Here is a 14,585-nt window from a genome sequence, read left to right as displayed (position 1 = left end):
ATCCTTGATTTTTTATCTTTCATCAGGCAACACCTCATTCTGAGTCATAGAATGTCTTCCCCTTAAACTTCATTTATGTATTTTTGTAGAGACAAGGTCTCACTATGCTGCCTAGGATGGTCTTGAACTCCTGGCCTCAAGCCATCCTCCTGACTTGGCCTCCCTAAGTGCTGAGATTAAAGGCATGAGCCACCGTGCTTGGCCTTAAACTTTATTTTTAAAATTGCAGTAAAGGACATTACTGGGACAATTTACAAAATTGAAATAGGGACTGTAGATAAGACAAAAATATTGTATCAATATTTGAATTTGATAACTATACCATATGTGGTTGATACGTGGTTACATGAGAAAACGTCCTTCTTCTTAGGAAATAATGAAGTGCTGAGGAAGAAAGAAACATGATCTATGCATCCTATTCTCAAATGATTAGGAAATTTGTGCCCAGGCGCAGTGGCTCACACGTGTAATCCCAGCATTTCGGGAGGCCAAGACAAGTGGATAGCTTGAGCTCAGGAGTTTGAGACCAGCCTGGTCAACATGGTGGAACCCGATCTCTAGAAAAAATTAGCCTGGCATGGTAGTGAGTGACCGTAGTTCCAGCTACTCTGGAGGCTAAGGTGAGACAATCGCCTGAGCCCAGGAAATTGAGGCTGCAGTGAGCTATGATCATGCCACTCTATTACAACCTGGGCAACAAAGTAAGATCCTGTTTTTTAAAAAGAAAGAACATTTTGTGTGTGTCTGTGTGCGTGCATGTATAAAAAGAGAGAGAGAAAGCAAATATAGCAAAATGTTAAACATTAGTCAATCTGACTAAAGGGTACACAGTGGTTATTTGTACTATTCTTGCAATATTTCTATGAGCTTGAAATTGTTTCAAAATAAAAGTTAAAAATACAGCTGGGCACGGTGGCTCATGCCTGTAATCCCAGCACTTTAGGAGGCCGAGGCAGGTGGATCACAAGGTCAGGAGATGGAGACCATCTTGGCCAACATGTTGAAACCCCGTGTCTATTAAAAATACAAAAATTAGCCAGGGGTGCTGGTGGGCGTCTATAGTCCCAGCTGCTCAGGAGGCTGAGGTAGGAGAATCGCTTGAACCCAGGAGTCCGAGGTTACAGTGAGCCAAGATCGTGCCACTGCACTCCAGCCTGGGGGACAGAGTGAGACTCTGCCTCAAAATAAATAAATAAAAATAAATACACTCTCTATGCTGAATAAAAGATATTTACTGTGTTCCTTGAAAGGTGTAGTGGCAAATGGAAGCAGTTTGAGAACAGATTATGTAAAACCTTGACAGACAGGGAAGGAGTCTACTTAATTCTATAGAAAATAGAGAACGATAAAGATTTTCTAGCCAAGGACTAGCTAAAAATCTGTGTTTCGGACGGCTCAACTAGGGGTAATAGTGAGGACTGGGTAAGGGGAAGGTGGGAGACCTTATCAGTCAGTAAGTGGTAACAGTAATTCAGAAGAAAACTGGTTAAATAACAGTCTGAATTAAGGAAAAGAAAAGAAGAAACATATTTAAGAATACTATGTTCAAGCCAGGCGCGGTGGCTCACGCCTGTAATCCCAGCACTTTGGAAGGCGGAGGCGGGTGGATCACGAGGTCAGGAGATCGAGATCGTCCTGGCTAACACGGTGAAACCTCGTGTCTACTAACAATACAAAAAATCAGCCGGGCGTGGTTGCAGGTGCCTGTAGTCCCAGCTACTTGGGAGGCTGAGGCAGGAGAATGGCATGAACCCGGGAGGCGGAACTTGTAGTGAGCAGAGATAGCGCCACTGCACTCCAGCCTGGGCGACAGAGCGAGACTCCGTCTCAAAAAAAAAAAAAAAAGAGAGAATACTATGTTCAGCCAGGCATGGTTGCTCACGCCTGTAATCCCAGCACTTTAGGAGGCCGAGGAGGGCGGATCATGAGGTCAGGTGTTGGAGACCAGGCCAACATGGTGAAACCCCGTCTCTACTAAAAATACAAAAATTAGGCAGGTGTGGTGGCAGGTGCCAGTAATCCCAGCTGCTTGGGAAGCTGAGGCAGGAGAATCTCTTGAACCCGGGAGGTTGCAGTGAGCCGAGATGGCGCCATTGCACTCCAGCGAGACTTAGTCTCAAAAAAAAAAAAAAAAAAATACTATGTTCACTATTTGAGTGATGGGTTCAATAGAAGCATTATGCAATATATGCATGGGAGGCCAAGGCTGGCAGGTCTGCTGAGGTCAGGAGTTCAAGACCAGCCTGGCCAACATGGCAAAACCCCATCTCTACTTAAAAAATACAAAAATAAGCCAGTGTGGTGGCGCATGCCTGTAATCCCAGCTACTCCGGAGGCTGAGACAGGAGAATTGCATGAACCTGGGAGGCAGAGTTTGTAGTGAGCAGAGACCTTGCCACTGCAGTCCAGCCTGAGTGACAGAGCGAGACTCTGTCTCAAAAAACAAAAAGAAAAAGAAAAAAAGAATTAATGGCATTATTGGATATGGAAGACTAGGATGAGCTGCAGATAATTTTCAATTTTCGTATCTATGGTTTTGTTGATTGTTGTATTTTAGATCCAGAAGTAGTTTAGGGTAGTCTATTAGGGTAGTCCAGTAGTTAACATAGTGTACAGAAGAAAAAGTATGATTTTTGAAGTCATGCAAACATGTCTTCAAATCCTGGCTTGAACATATATGATGTGTCTCTGAATATGTACTTTTACTTCTCTAAGCTTTTATGTTCTTATCTGCAAAAGTATAAAATCAGAACAAGTATATCTATCAGAACAATATTACTGAGTGACTAACAGTCTCATAGTCCAAAATCTATGTTTGAATCCTAGCTTTTTTATTTCTTGGCAGTGTGCCTCAGGACAGGGTATTTTTCTTTCTAAATTTCAGTTTCCTCATCTATAAAATAAAAACTGCAGCCAGGCATGGTGGGTCATGCCTGTAATCCAAGCACTTTGGGAGGCCAAAGCAGGTGGATCATCTGAGGTCAGGAGTTCGAGACCAGCTTGGCCAACATGGTGAAACCCTCTCTTCGGATCATCTGAGGTCAGGAGTTCAAGACCAACCTGGCCAAGATGGTGAAACCCTGTCTCTATTAAAGATACAAAAATTAGCTGGGACTCAAGGCAGGTGCCTGTAATTCCAGCTACTTGGGAGGCTGAGGCAGTAGAATCGCTTGAACCTGGGAGGCGGAGGTTGCAGTGAGCCAAGATCATGCCACTGCACTCCAGCCTGGGCGACAGAGTAAGACTCCGTCTCAAAAAAAAAACAAAAACAAAGACCTTATTATCTTTGCACTGCTTTATCCCCATCACCTAATGGAATGGTATGGTTAATTTTATGTGTCAACTTGGCTAGGCTATGTGCCCAGCTTGGTTACATACTAGTCTAGATGTTGGTATGAAGTTATTAGGTAGAAGTGATTAACATTTACAGTCAATTGATTTTAAATAACGGAGATTACTCTCCATGATATGGGTGAGCCTTATCCAATTAGATGAAGGTTGTTTTTTGTTTTTTGTTTGAGACGGAGTCTCGCTCTGTCACCCAGGCTGGAGTGCAGTGTGCAGTGGCATGATCTCAGCTCACTGCAACCTCCACTTCCTGGGTTCAAGCGATTCTCCTGCCTCAGCCTCCTGAGTAGCTGAGACTACAGGTGCCTGCCACCATGCCCAGCAATTTTTTTTTTATTTTTAGTAGAGATGGGGTTTTACCATATTGGCCAGGCTGGTCTCGAACTCCTGACCTTGTGATCTGCCCGCCACTGCCTCCCAAAGTGCTAGGATTACAGGCATGAGCCAACTCGCCTGGCCTAGATGAAGGTTTTAAGAATAAGGTTACTGGCGGAAGAGGTGGCTCACGCCTGCAATCCCAGCACATTGGGAGCCTGAGGCAAGCGGATCACCTGAGGTCAGGAGTTCGAGACCAGCCTGGCCAATATGGTGAAACCTCGTCTCTACTAAAAATACAACAATTAGCTGGGCATGGTGGCACGTGCCTGTAATCCCAGCTACGTGGGAGGCTGAGGCAGGAGGATCACTCAGACCCGGGAGGCAGAGGTTGCGGAGAGTTGAGATTGTGCCACTGCATTCCAGCCGGGGCAACAGAATAAGACTCTGTATCAAAAAAAAAGAATAAGGTTCCTAGGCCGGGTGTGGTGGCTCACACCTGTAATCCTAGCACTTTGGGAGACCGAGGTGGGAGGATCTCTTGAAGTCAGGAGCCTGAGACCAGCCTGGCCATCATGGTGAAACCCTGTCTCTACTGAAAATACAAAAATTAGCCAGGCATGATAGCAGGTGCCCATAATCCCAGGTACTCGGGAGACTGAGGTAGGAGAATTGCTTGAAACTGGGAGGTGGAGGTTGCAGTGTTGCAGTGAGCTGAGACTGTACCACTGCACTCCAGCCCAGATGACAGAGTGAAACTCCATCTCAAAAAAAAAAAAAAAAAAAGAATAAGGTTAAGAACAACAACATCCTGGTTGGGCACCATGGCTCATGCCTGTAATCTCAACACTGGGAGAATGAGGCAGGAGGATCTCTTGAGCCCAGGAGTTTGAGACCAGCCTGGGCAGCATGGTGAGACCTTATCTCTACAAAAAAATTGTGAAAATTAGCCAGATGTGGTGGCCTGCACCTGTAGTCCCAGCTACTTGGGAAAATGAGGCAGGAGGATTGCTTGAGCAAAAAGGTCAAGGCTGAAGTGAGCCATGTTTGTGCCACTGCACTCCAGCCTGGGCAACAGAATGAGATCTTGTCTCAAAAATGAACAAACAAAAAAACTGAAGTTGGCCGGGCACAGTGGCTCACAGCTGTAATCCCAGCACTTTGGAAGCCCAAGGCAGGTGGATCACCTGAGGTCAGGAGGTCGAGAACAGTCTGGCCAACATGGTGAAACCCCATCTCTACTAAAAAAAAAAAAAAATACAAAAATTAGCCAGGCATGGTGGCAGGCACCTGTAATTCCAGCTACTCAGGAGGCTGAGGCAGGAAAATCACTTGAACCTGGGAGGTGGAGGTTGCAGTGAGCTGAGATCGCGCCATTGCACTCCAGCTTGGGAGACTTCGTCTCAAAACAAACAAACAAACAAAAACAAAAAAACTGAAGTTTTCCAAAAGAGAAAGAATTCAGCCTGAGTTTCCAACCTGCTGGCCTGCCCCATGGATTCTAGATGTGCCAGTGTCCACAATCATGTGAGCCAATTCCTGAACCTCTCTGTCTCTCTTTCTTTGGAAAACCCAGACTGATACTTTTATCATTCATTTTATTATTATTATTATTTTTCATTTTGTTGAGACGGAGTTTCGCTCTTGTTGCCCAGGCTGGCGCAATCTCGGCTCACCACAACCTCCGACTCCCGGGTTCAAGCGATTCTCCTGCCTCAGCCTCCCGAGTAGCTGGGATTACAGACATGTACCACCACGCCCAGCTAATTTTTGTATTTTTAGTAGTGATGAGTTTTCTCCCTGTTGGTCAGGCTGGTCTCAAAATCCTGACCTCAGGTAATCTGCCCACCTCGGCATCCCAAAGTGCTGAGATTACAGGCGTGAGCTACCACGCCTGGCTTCATTTTCTCCTTTTTTTTTTTTTTTTTTTTTGAGACGGAGTCTTGATCTGTTGCCCAGGCTGGAGGGCAGTGGCGCGATCTCAGCTCACTGCAACCTCTGCCTCCCAGGTTCAAGCAATTCTCTGCCTCAGCCTTCTGAGTAGCTGGGATTACAGGCACCCGCCACCACGCTCAGCTTATTTTTGTATTTTTAGTAGAAAAGGGTTTTCACCATGTTGGCCAGGCTGGTCTTGAACTCCTGACCTCGCGATCTGCCTGCCTCAGCCTCCTAAAGTGCTGGGATTACAGGCGTGAGCCACTACGCCTGGCCTTACCATTCGCTTTCATTTTTTTTTCTTCTGTGTCCTTCTATGGGTTCAGTTGTGTTCTAGGATCTGGGAATGTAGCAGGGACCTAGAACAGAGGCTTTTCTCTCATGGTTAATATTCTTATGGAGGGAGAGAAAAACTTGTAGGGGCTAAGACAAATCTCTTTTGCCCTCTGAAGGTTCACTAGAAATCAACTGACAAAAGGCTGATTAAAAGGAGAAAGGCAGACAAAACATTAATGTACACATGCATGCATGGGAGGAACACAGATTTTAAAAACTCAAAGAAAGGGCCAGATAAGCTGGGGGTAGTGGCTCACGCCTGTAATCCCAGCACTTTGGGAGGCTGAGGAGGGCAGATCACATGAGGTCGGGAGTTGGAGACCAGCCTGACCAACACAGAGAAAGCCCGTCTTTACTAAAAATACAAAATTAGCCAGGCATGGTAGTGTATGCCTGTAATCCCAGCTATTCAGGAGGCTGAGGCAGGAGAATCGCTTGAACCTAAGAGGTGGAGGTTGCGGTGTGCCGAGATTGAGCCATTGCACCACTCCAGCCTGGGCAACAACAGTGAAAAAAAAGAAAGGGCCAGATAGTTGATGCTTTTATACCACCTGAGGTTACAGAAAGAAGAGGGGCTCAGAGCATGGCAAGAGAGGTTATGGGAGGGAGAGAAGAGAAAAAGCTTTTTAGCTATTCTTATGTTTTCAGGCTCTCTAAATAGCCATCTTTAAATATGTCAAATAAGTATATTTGGTGTAAAATATTTTTTTGTTTCCTTTAGTCAATAAGCAAACAAATAAGCAGACCAATTTCAAATAGCTATCAGTGCCATGTGGGGAGAGGGCTATGAGACAGAGAAGCAGAGGGAAAGTGGTCTCTCCAGAATGGGTGCTCAGGGAAGGGCTGAAGAGGTGACATTTGAGCTGAATGAAAAGGGAGCAAGCCATGAGGTTATGGAGGGGCAGGTATTCTAAGCAAGAATTCCAAGGAGCAGAAAGTTTGAAGGCTGTGAAGGGAAGACGGGTCTGGCATGTATGAGAAGCAGCAAGAATAACTCTGCCCTGAAGAAGAGTAAGCCAGAGGAAAGTGATAGGGGAGAGTTCAGAGACCTTGTCAAATTGAAAGACTTGTAAACAGTAGTAACGCATTTAGATTATACTCTAAACTTACTGTGATTTTCAAGATTTACATTTTTAAATTTCTGCTACTTAAATGTCGATCACTGGCTTAATGGTAGGCATTGAAATCATTATGCAGAATCTACTTCTGCTAGAGTTAATGTCTGTCCAAGGGTTTGCATTGCATTGATCCCCCTGCCCCAGCAGAATAAGTAGCTTCTGGGAGCTGAGTTGAAAATGCAGAACTCAGGCCCTGCTCCAGACCTACTGAATCAGAATTTGCATTTTAATAAAATCCCCAGGTGGTTCATGAGCACCTGAAAGTTTGAGGGGACTCAACCTTGACTGCATTATGGAAACACCTGGGAACCTAATTTGTTTAAAAAAAACAAAAGTGTTACCTGGGTCACCCTAGAGTAATGGCATAATTGGTCTGAGGTGCAGCCTGTGCGTCGGAAATTCTGGAAGCCACTTATCTTCCAAAGGTCAGAAAGGCCGCTGCCCTAAAGCCACAGTGGGTGACAGGCAGCTGTTTTTCATGCTCAGCTGACTGCCCATGCTCCGTTTTCCTTTATGTCTTCTTGTAGCAGTTCCCACGGAATCACCTTGTTTTCCTTTCTTTGGTCACTAGAAAAAGTATTTCTCTTCCCAGGGATTCTCAGGGATGAGAAGGGCAGTCTGATTGGCCCTGAATACACACATACTGGCTTTTAATGTTGAGTTAACTGCTCTCATTAGTAGGCAACAAGATGTCAAATAAAACAATCCTGAAGAAGTTGCAAAACACAGTGTTCTTACAAGTGTGATCCTGAGTCTAAAATTCCTAATTCCCTTCATATGGAAAGCCTAGAATGAAGTACTCAACTTCTCTGTCAGTCCCCAGCATTTCAAAAGTCCATTTTGTCTTGCATTCAGGAAAGCCTTTTCTTTAAACTGAATCTATACAACAATAGGTTGTATTCTGCAGTTAATTTGCATCTCTGAAGACTTGATTTCTCCCAGGTCTCACCAGGCAGCGAATGAGCCCCCTGTGCGTTTCCTGACAGCCTTTTAAGTCACTTCCTAGGCTGACTTACGGAGCAAGTAAGAGTTCACAGGTCTCATGATTCCTAAGTTGCAGGAAAGGGTCTATGACAGCTATTCTTCCCTTAATAAAGTTATTTCTTTTACATTAAACTTCTGACACTGGGGTAGATTGGATGTAAGGGAAAAGGGAGACACTCCAAATTATCACACAATGATTTAGCCTCTTCAGTGTACTGTTGCAAAATGTTTAGTTTAAAATGCCTTTCTATAATTTATCATTCCTTTTCTTTTTTTTTTTTTTTTTTTTTTTTGAGACGGAGTCTTGGTCTGCCGCCCAGGCTGGAGTGCAGTGGCGCGATCTCGGCTCACTGCAACCTCTGCCTCCCGGGCTCACGCCATTCTCCTGCCTCAGCCCCTCCGAGTAGCTGGGACTACAGGCGCCCGCCACCACGCCCGGCTAATTTTTTTTGTATTTTTAGTAGAGACAGGGTTTCACCGTGGACTCAATCTCCTGACATCGTGATCCGCCCGCCTCAGCCTTCCAAAGTGCTGGGATTACAAGCGTGAGCCACCGCGCCCGGCCTCATTACTTATTTAAGGGAACTATGAAAACAGTATCTCATTCTCTTTAGGTTTTCTGAACTTTCAGCCTCAACAAGTAGTTACCATTTTAAATCTGCAGCTTGACAGCTTGTAAGCAAAAGCATTGAAACTACTCACGAAGGGTCAGAGTAGAATGAATAATTTCACGGAAATGCAAATTTCATTTAAAACTTATTTAAAAGTATTAAATTGGGAGGAGATGGAAGTCTAAGATTTATTTCCCTTACTGATGATAAATAGTAATATTTACTGGCCAATACTACAAAAGAACTAGAAGATTGTATAAAATATTTTTACAGTGCTTTTTAAAGAGAGATTTAAAAGTGGAGGTGAGAGTGAGGATTGGGTTTGTTATAGGCCATCGCCCTTTTTTATTTTTTTTGAGACGGAGTTTCGCTCTTGTCGCCCAGGCTGGATAGTGGCACGATCTCGGCTCACTGCAACCTCGGCCTCCCGGGTTCAAGCAATTCTCCTGCCTCAGCATCCCGAGTAGCTGGGATTACAGGTGCCCGCTACCACGCCCAGCTAATTTTTGTATTTTTAGTAGAGACGGGGTTTCACCACGTTGGCCAGACTGGTCTCGAACTCCTTACCTCAGGTGATCTGCCTGCCTCGGCCTTCCAAAGTCCTGGGATTACAGGCGTGAGCCACTGTGCCTGGCCAAGCCATTGCCTTTTACAATGGTGATGTTATAGTCTGACTTCTTCCTAAAGTTCGAACTGCAGAAAAAATATTCTACTCTTTGGATCCATTCTGATGATGTTCTTATGATGGCTTTGAGTCTAGGCCAGGAGTCACTGGAATTAATTCAGGAATTAAACTCACTCATTCTGGTACATCCGGACCTTTGTAAACGTGTCTGGCTCGTTTTTGTGACCACATTGCAGTTATCAGCACCATTCATGGACACTTTAAATTTATTTCCTCTCCTAAGGATTTGTTAATTATCTACTATTTGTACTGTCATTGCCATCATATTTAATGCAACCAGTAATTTCATCACACACACATTATATTTTCCATGCTTTGTTCCTAATGATGTTTATTCCTGCCTTAGGACCTTAGCACTAGCTCTGTCCGCTGTCTAGAATGTTCTTGCCTCATTCTTTATGTAATTGGCTCCTTCCTGTTATTCAGTTCTCCATTTATATGTTCCCTCCTCAGAGAGCCTGGGCAATAGAACGAGACCCTGAATCCGAAAAATAAAAAAATAAAATAACATAAAAACTTGAAAATTACATTTCTTCAATAATGAAACATCAAATATGAAGGTCAAATTGCCAACTTGGGTTTTTTCCTCCCTAAGTCAGAAAATAACAAAAAACAGATTGGATTTTTGATGCCATTTTAATTTCTGTTACTGTGACTAAACCTCAGATTGGATTCACTGTCTCAGAAAGGTATCCCAGGCATGGTGATGCAAAATATAGAGAAAGAGCCAAGAATAGAAATTCTGGCATGAAAGTCACCTAAAAATATTGATAATGCATAGAACATTTTATAAGTTGATCTCAAAAAAAGCTTTATTAGAGTCATGGACCTGTAATTGATTACCAATATATGTCTCTGCTTTACTTCTGAAAAAATTGTTTGTTTTGCCTTATAAGCACTGCTGATAATCTGATAAATGCTAGCAATCTTGAGTGGAAGACAAATTTGCTGTATTTTATATAGTAAACCACTGCAATGGAGTTAATAGTTTATAGGTTTTCTATAAACTGCCTTCTTCTCACTTTCCTGATTGCTACAATTCCAGCTGCATATTCCATAACTGTTTAAAGGAGGATTTTATTTTTTAAACTGTATCTCTTATTTCCACATCTAACATGACTCATTTTTGGCTGCTATGTTCCTGCTCTTTGCAGAAAGATAAAGAGATCATCTGCTACTTGAACTTTTGTTTAGCTTGTTAGGTATTTAGGTTGACTCTAATGTGCCAGATGTTATCCAGTTGGCAAAACAGTGCTTTCTTACCCATCTGTGCGCTGATCTCTCCATTTAATTCTCCAGCTGTACTGTTCTCTGCATCCTTGTATAAATAACAATATTGAAATGTTTCCTAAGAAACGTGCCATTTCTTCTTAGCTTTTACTTCCTTGTCCACAAGGACCTTGGGGTCATCTGCACTTGCCTCCCAGGACTCTATTGTTCTTCTCACATGATATAAAGGCATCACAGTTGCAATACTGACATTCCATCTGTAAGGGTAAGACAGTTCTGAAGCTGACTACATCAACTGAGATTATAGCTTCTAAATTCTGCTAGGCACCATGAAGAGCTTTAGCAAAGATGGTTACCTTTTCTGAAGAATGCACCTACATTATTTATGCAAACTAAGAGCAAGTCATGCTGTACTGGCATTAATGAATGATGAAAGTATTTTCATTTTAAAATCATTTTCCCAATGCCCAAAACCTATTGAAAGTATTTCAATGTTATTAACTAATGTTACTAATTTACATAATCTTTTAAGTTTATGAATCAAATATTCTATAAAAGTTCATTACTTTCCAAGTAATTATTTAGACAGCATCCTTATTATTAGCTATTTTTCCTATACAAATGCTCAAACTGAGTGGAAAAGAAAGTAAACAACTCTAGGCTGGGAGCAGTGGCTCACGCCTGTAATCTCAGCACTTTGGGAGGCTGAGGCAGGAGGATCATTGAGCCACAGGTTCCAGACCAGCTTGTGAAGCATAGTGAGACCGTGTCTCCTCAAAAACTAAAAATATCAAGCAGGCACAGTGGCATGCGTGCCTGTAGTCCCAGCTACTCCAGAGCCTGAGGCAGGAGGATCACTTGGGCCTGGGAGGTTAGGGCTGTAGTGAACCATGATTGTGCCACTGCACTCCAGCCTGGTCGAAAGAGCAAGATGTTTCCAAAAAAAAAAGGATCAAATTATCATGTGGGAAAGCATGATACATTTATTTCTTAAGCAAGAAGAATGATAAGGGACAAAAAAAGGTAGGAAGAGTTTATTTGTAATGGCTGCTTTCTTGCTTTGTTTAGCAATGTGCTAAAGAAAAATTATTGCTTTCCAGGACCAGGTGCGGTGGCTCACGCCTGTAATCCCAGCACTTTGGGAGGCCAAGGTGGGTGGATCACAAGGTCAGGAGTTTGAGACCAGCCTGGACAACATGGTGAAATCCCGTCTCTACTAAAACTACAAAAATTGGTTGGGCATGGTGGCATGTGCCTGTAGTCCCAGCTACGCGGAGGCTGAGACAGAAGAATCGCTTGAACCCGGGAGGCCGAGGTTGCAGTGAGCCGAGATCATGCCACTGCAAAATTGTTGCTTCCCAAAACAAAGTTAGTGTTTTAAAAGATATGCCATTTGAATATGGTTTTTACCCAATTTATACTATAGATCATTATTATATCCAAAGCAGATATTGGATCTATATTGGAATCACTAAGAAAGAGGCTTACTTTAAAATATTAAATATCAATATTGGAATTTTGCTAAGTCTCATGGAAAATTATCAAGATGCCTTTAAACTTAAAAAAGTAAATACATATTTTACAACTAATAAAGACCCAATGTTAATACTTTTCAAGGTTGAAACATTCTCCCTATGAAATAGATGTTTAAAGCAGAAAAAAAGACATTTTTAGATAGCATAAATTTTACTATGCATTTCTTTGAAGTAAGGGGAACTATTTCAAAGAGAAATGATGCAATGTAAGATAAACATGGGATATCATATTGCACCAAAAAACAAAGAGACTATCAAAGACTCACTGGGCATGCTAATATGAATTGCAAGAGAACAGCACAAGCCTAATGGCTAGGATAACCTGCACTCCAGAAATTGCTCTTTGGATTTTGTATCCCAGCACATTACACAATGCCTGGTATACATTAGGTGAAAATGCATGTTAGTTGAGTTAATAAATGAATAGATATCTGAGAATTAGGAAATAGAGAAACAAAATTTAATCATAGTAATAGAAAGGGAAGTAGGAGCATACTAAAAATAAATGTACCACTTGTAATCGCAGCCCTTTGGGAGGCCAAGGCAGGAGGATCGCTTGAACACAGGAGTTCGAGACTAGTCTGAGCAACTTAGTGAGAACCCACCTCTACAAAAAAATATTGTTTTAAAAAGAAGGACAAAAAAGATTAAAATAAATACATTAAATAAATAAATGTACCTACTTAGATGTCTTTTCTTCTATCCATCACACAATACCCTCTGCTTACTTCACACCACATACCCGCACTACCACCCACCACCACTTACCAACCAAAACCCAGACCTATGACATATATTCGACATTAATATTCCTTATCTGAGCCAATGGCAACACTGCTGTGGAGACACCTAAACTTAGGCTTGGCAGCAATTAAGAGAACTAACCCAAGTCCCTAGTATTTCCTTTTTTTTTTTTTTTTTTTTTGAGATGGAGTCTCGCTCTGTCGCCCAGGCTGGAGTGCAGTGGCACGATCTCGGCTTACTGCAACCTCCGCCTCCTGGCTTCAAGCGATTCTCCCGCCTCAGCCTCCCGAGCAGCTGGGATTACAGGCGCCCGCCAGCATGCCCAGCTAATTTTTTTATTTTTAGTAGAGACGGGGTTTCAGCATGTTGGCCAGTCTGGTCTTAAACTCCTGACCTTGTGATCCACCCGCCTTGGCCTCCCGAAGTGCTGGGATTATAGACGTGAACCACTTCGCCGGGCCCCTAGCATTTTCTTTATTCATCCATTCAGTCATTTACTCATGACTTAGTCAATATCTCTGTGCTAGGCCTTTAGTCTAGTACTAGCAATATAAAGTTAAATAACATGTAGTCCTTGTAATCTAGGAACTCCCAATCCAGCAAAGCATTATTTTGTAGAATAAAAACTATGCAACCTATATGAAGTGCTCTGCAAAAACCAAGAAGGGAGGAATCACTCAAGTTCACAGTACATCTTCCTCTCTTCCATATCTCTTTTGTTCTAATGTGATGTGAATAATAGCACCATTTCCTAGTACCCAAATTTAAACCTCATTATTATAACAAAGTTTAATTCCCATATCTTATAAGTTCCCCTGAGATTCTGACTTTGCAAGGCTTCACATAACTTGCCTTTCCGGTCCCACCAACAACCACCTCATTCTGGTCTTCCCTGTCCCTAGCAAGAAGTCCCACAATAGCCCCTGATCAAAGTAAGTTTCCTAAAGCACAACTCTCATCATGCATCTGCCAGGAACACAACTGCGCTATCATTAAATTCTTGTCAGTGCTGGCCCATAGGAGTCAGTATATGTTTGTTGGAATTGACCTCTGGCTCTTGCTAATGAACTTCCCCACGTGAGCAGAAGGGATTTAATATTCTTAATATCTTTTTCACTGTAGTGTCAAGAAAGCTTATGTCCACTAGCTGAGTCTCTCTCTCTCCTTTGGACATTTGTCTGAAAATTGCCTCTGAATCAAATCAAATGAGGTATCATACCTAAATATTCTAACATGCTTAAAAAATGCATTTCATGGCCGGGCACGGTGGCTCACGCCTGTAATCCCAGCACTTTAGGAGGCAGAGGCGGGCGGATCGCGAGGTCAGGAGATTGAGACCATCCTGGCTAACACGGTGAAACCCCGTCTCTACTAAAAATACAAAAAATTAGCCGAGTGTGGTGGCAGGAGCTGGTAGTCCCAGCTACTCCGGGAGGCTGAGGCAGGAGAATGGCATGAATCCGGGAGGCAGAGCTTGCAGTGAGCCGAGATTGAGCCACTGCACTCCAGCCTGGGGGACAGAGCAAGACTCCGTCTCAAAAAAAAAAAATGCATTTCATAAAGTTTTCTATGACCCTTTACCAAAGTCATCTCTAGGACAGTATTTGTGAAGTTCATCTTAATTGTGCATCAGAGCCGTTGTTCACTGTCTACACAGGGTAATCAATCTGTGTAAATAACCTAATTACTACTTTTGGTATTACATAGGCTAATATAAGGGTCATGTGGATTGAATGGTGCTATA

General features: G+C 42.9%; 3 annotated features.

Moving 5' to 3' along the window:
* Positions 6,031 to 6,766: an enhancer, noted in NCBI's record as "NANOG-H3K27ac-H3K4me1 hESC enhancer chr3:109075899-109076634 (GRCh37/hg19 assembly coordinates)". NCBI's record gives its function as "activates a minimal SCP1, AML or CMV promoter by ChIP-STARR-seq in primed H9 embryonic stem cells {active_cell/tissue: H9 hESC(primed)}" and the evidence as "EXISTENCE:reporter gene assay evidence [ECO:0000049][PMID:30033119]".
* Positions 6,767 to 7,500: an enhancer, noted in NCBI's record as "NANOG-H3K27ac hESC enhancer chr3:109075165-109075898 (GRCh37/hg19 assembly coordinates)". NCBI's record gives its function as "activates a minimal SCP1, AML or CMV promoter by ChIP-STARR-seq in naive H9 embryonic stem cells {active_cell/tissue: H9 hESC(naive)}" and the evidence as "EXISTENCE:reporter gene assay evidence [ECO:0000049][PMID:30033119]".
* Positions 7,501 to 8,236: an enhancer, noted in NCBI's record as "OCT4-NANOG-H3K27ac-H3K4me1 hESC enhancer chr3:109074429-109075164 (GRCh37/hg19 assembly coordinates)". NCBI's record gives its function as "activates a minimal SCP1, AML or CMV promoter by ChIP-STARR-seq in naive and primed H9 embryonic stem cells {active_cell/tissue: H9 hESC(naive and primed)}" and the evidence as "EXISTENCE:reporter gene assay evidence [ECO:0000049][PMID:30033119]".

This window comes from Homo sapiens, chromosome 3 (assembly GCF_000001405.40).
Source record: "Homo sapiens chromosome 3, GRCh38.p14 Primary Assembly".
Classification (NCBI taxonomy): Eukaryota; Metazoa; Chordata; class Mammalia; order Primates; family Hominidae; genus Homo; species Homo sapiens.
Note: the sequence above shows the minus strand (reverse complement) of the source record. Positions and strands in the feature narration are given on the sequence as shown.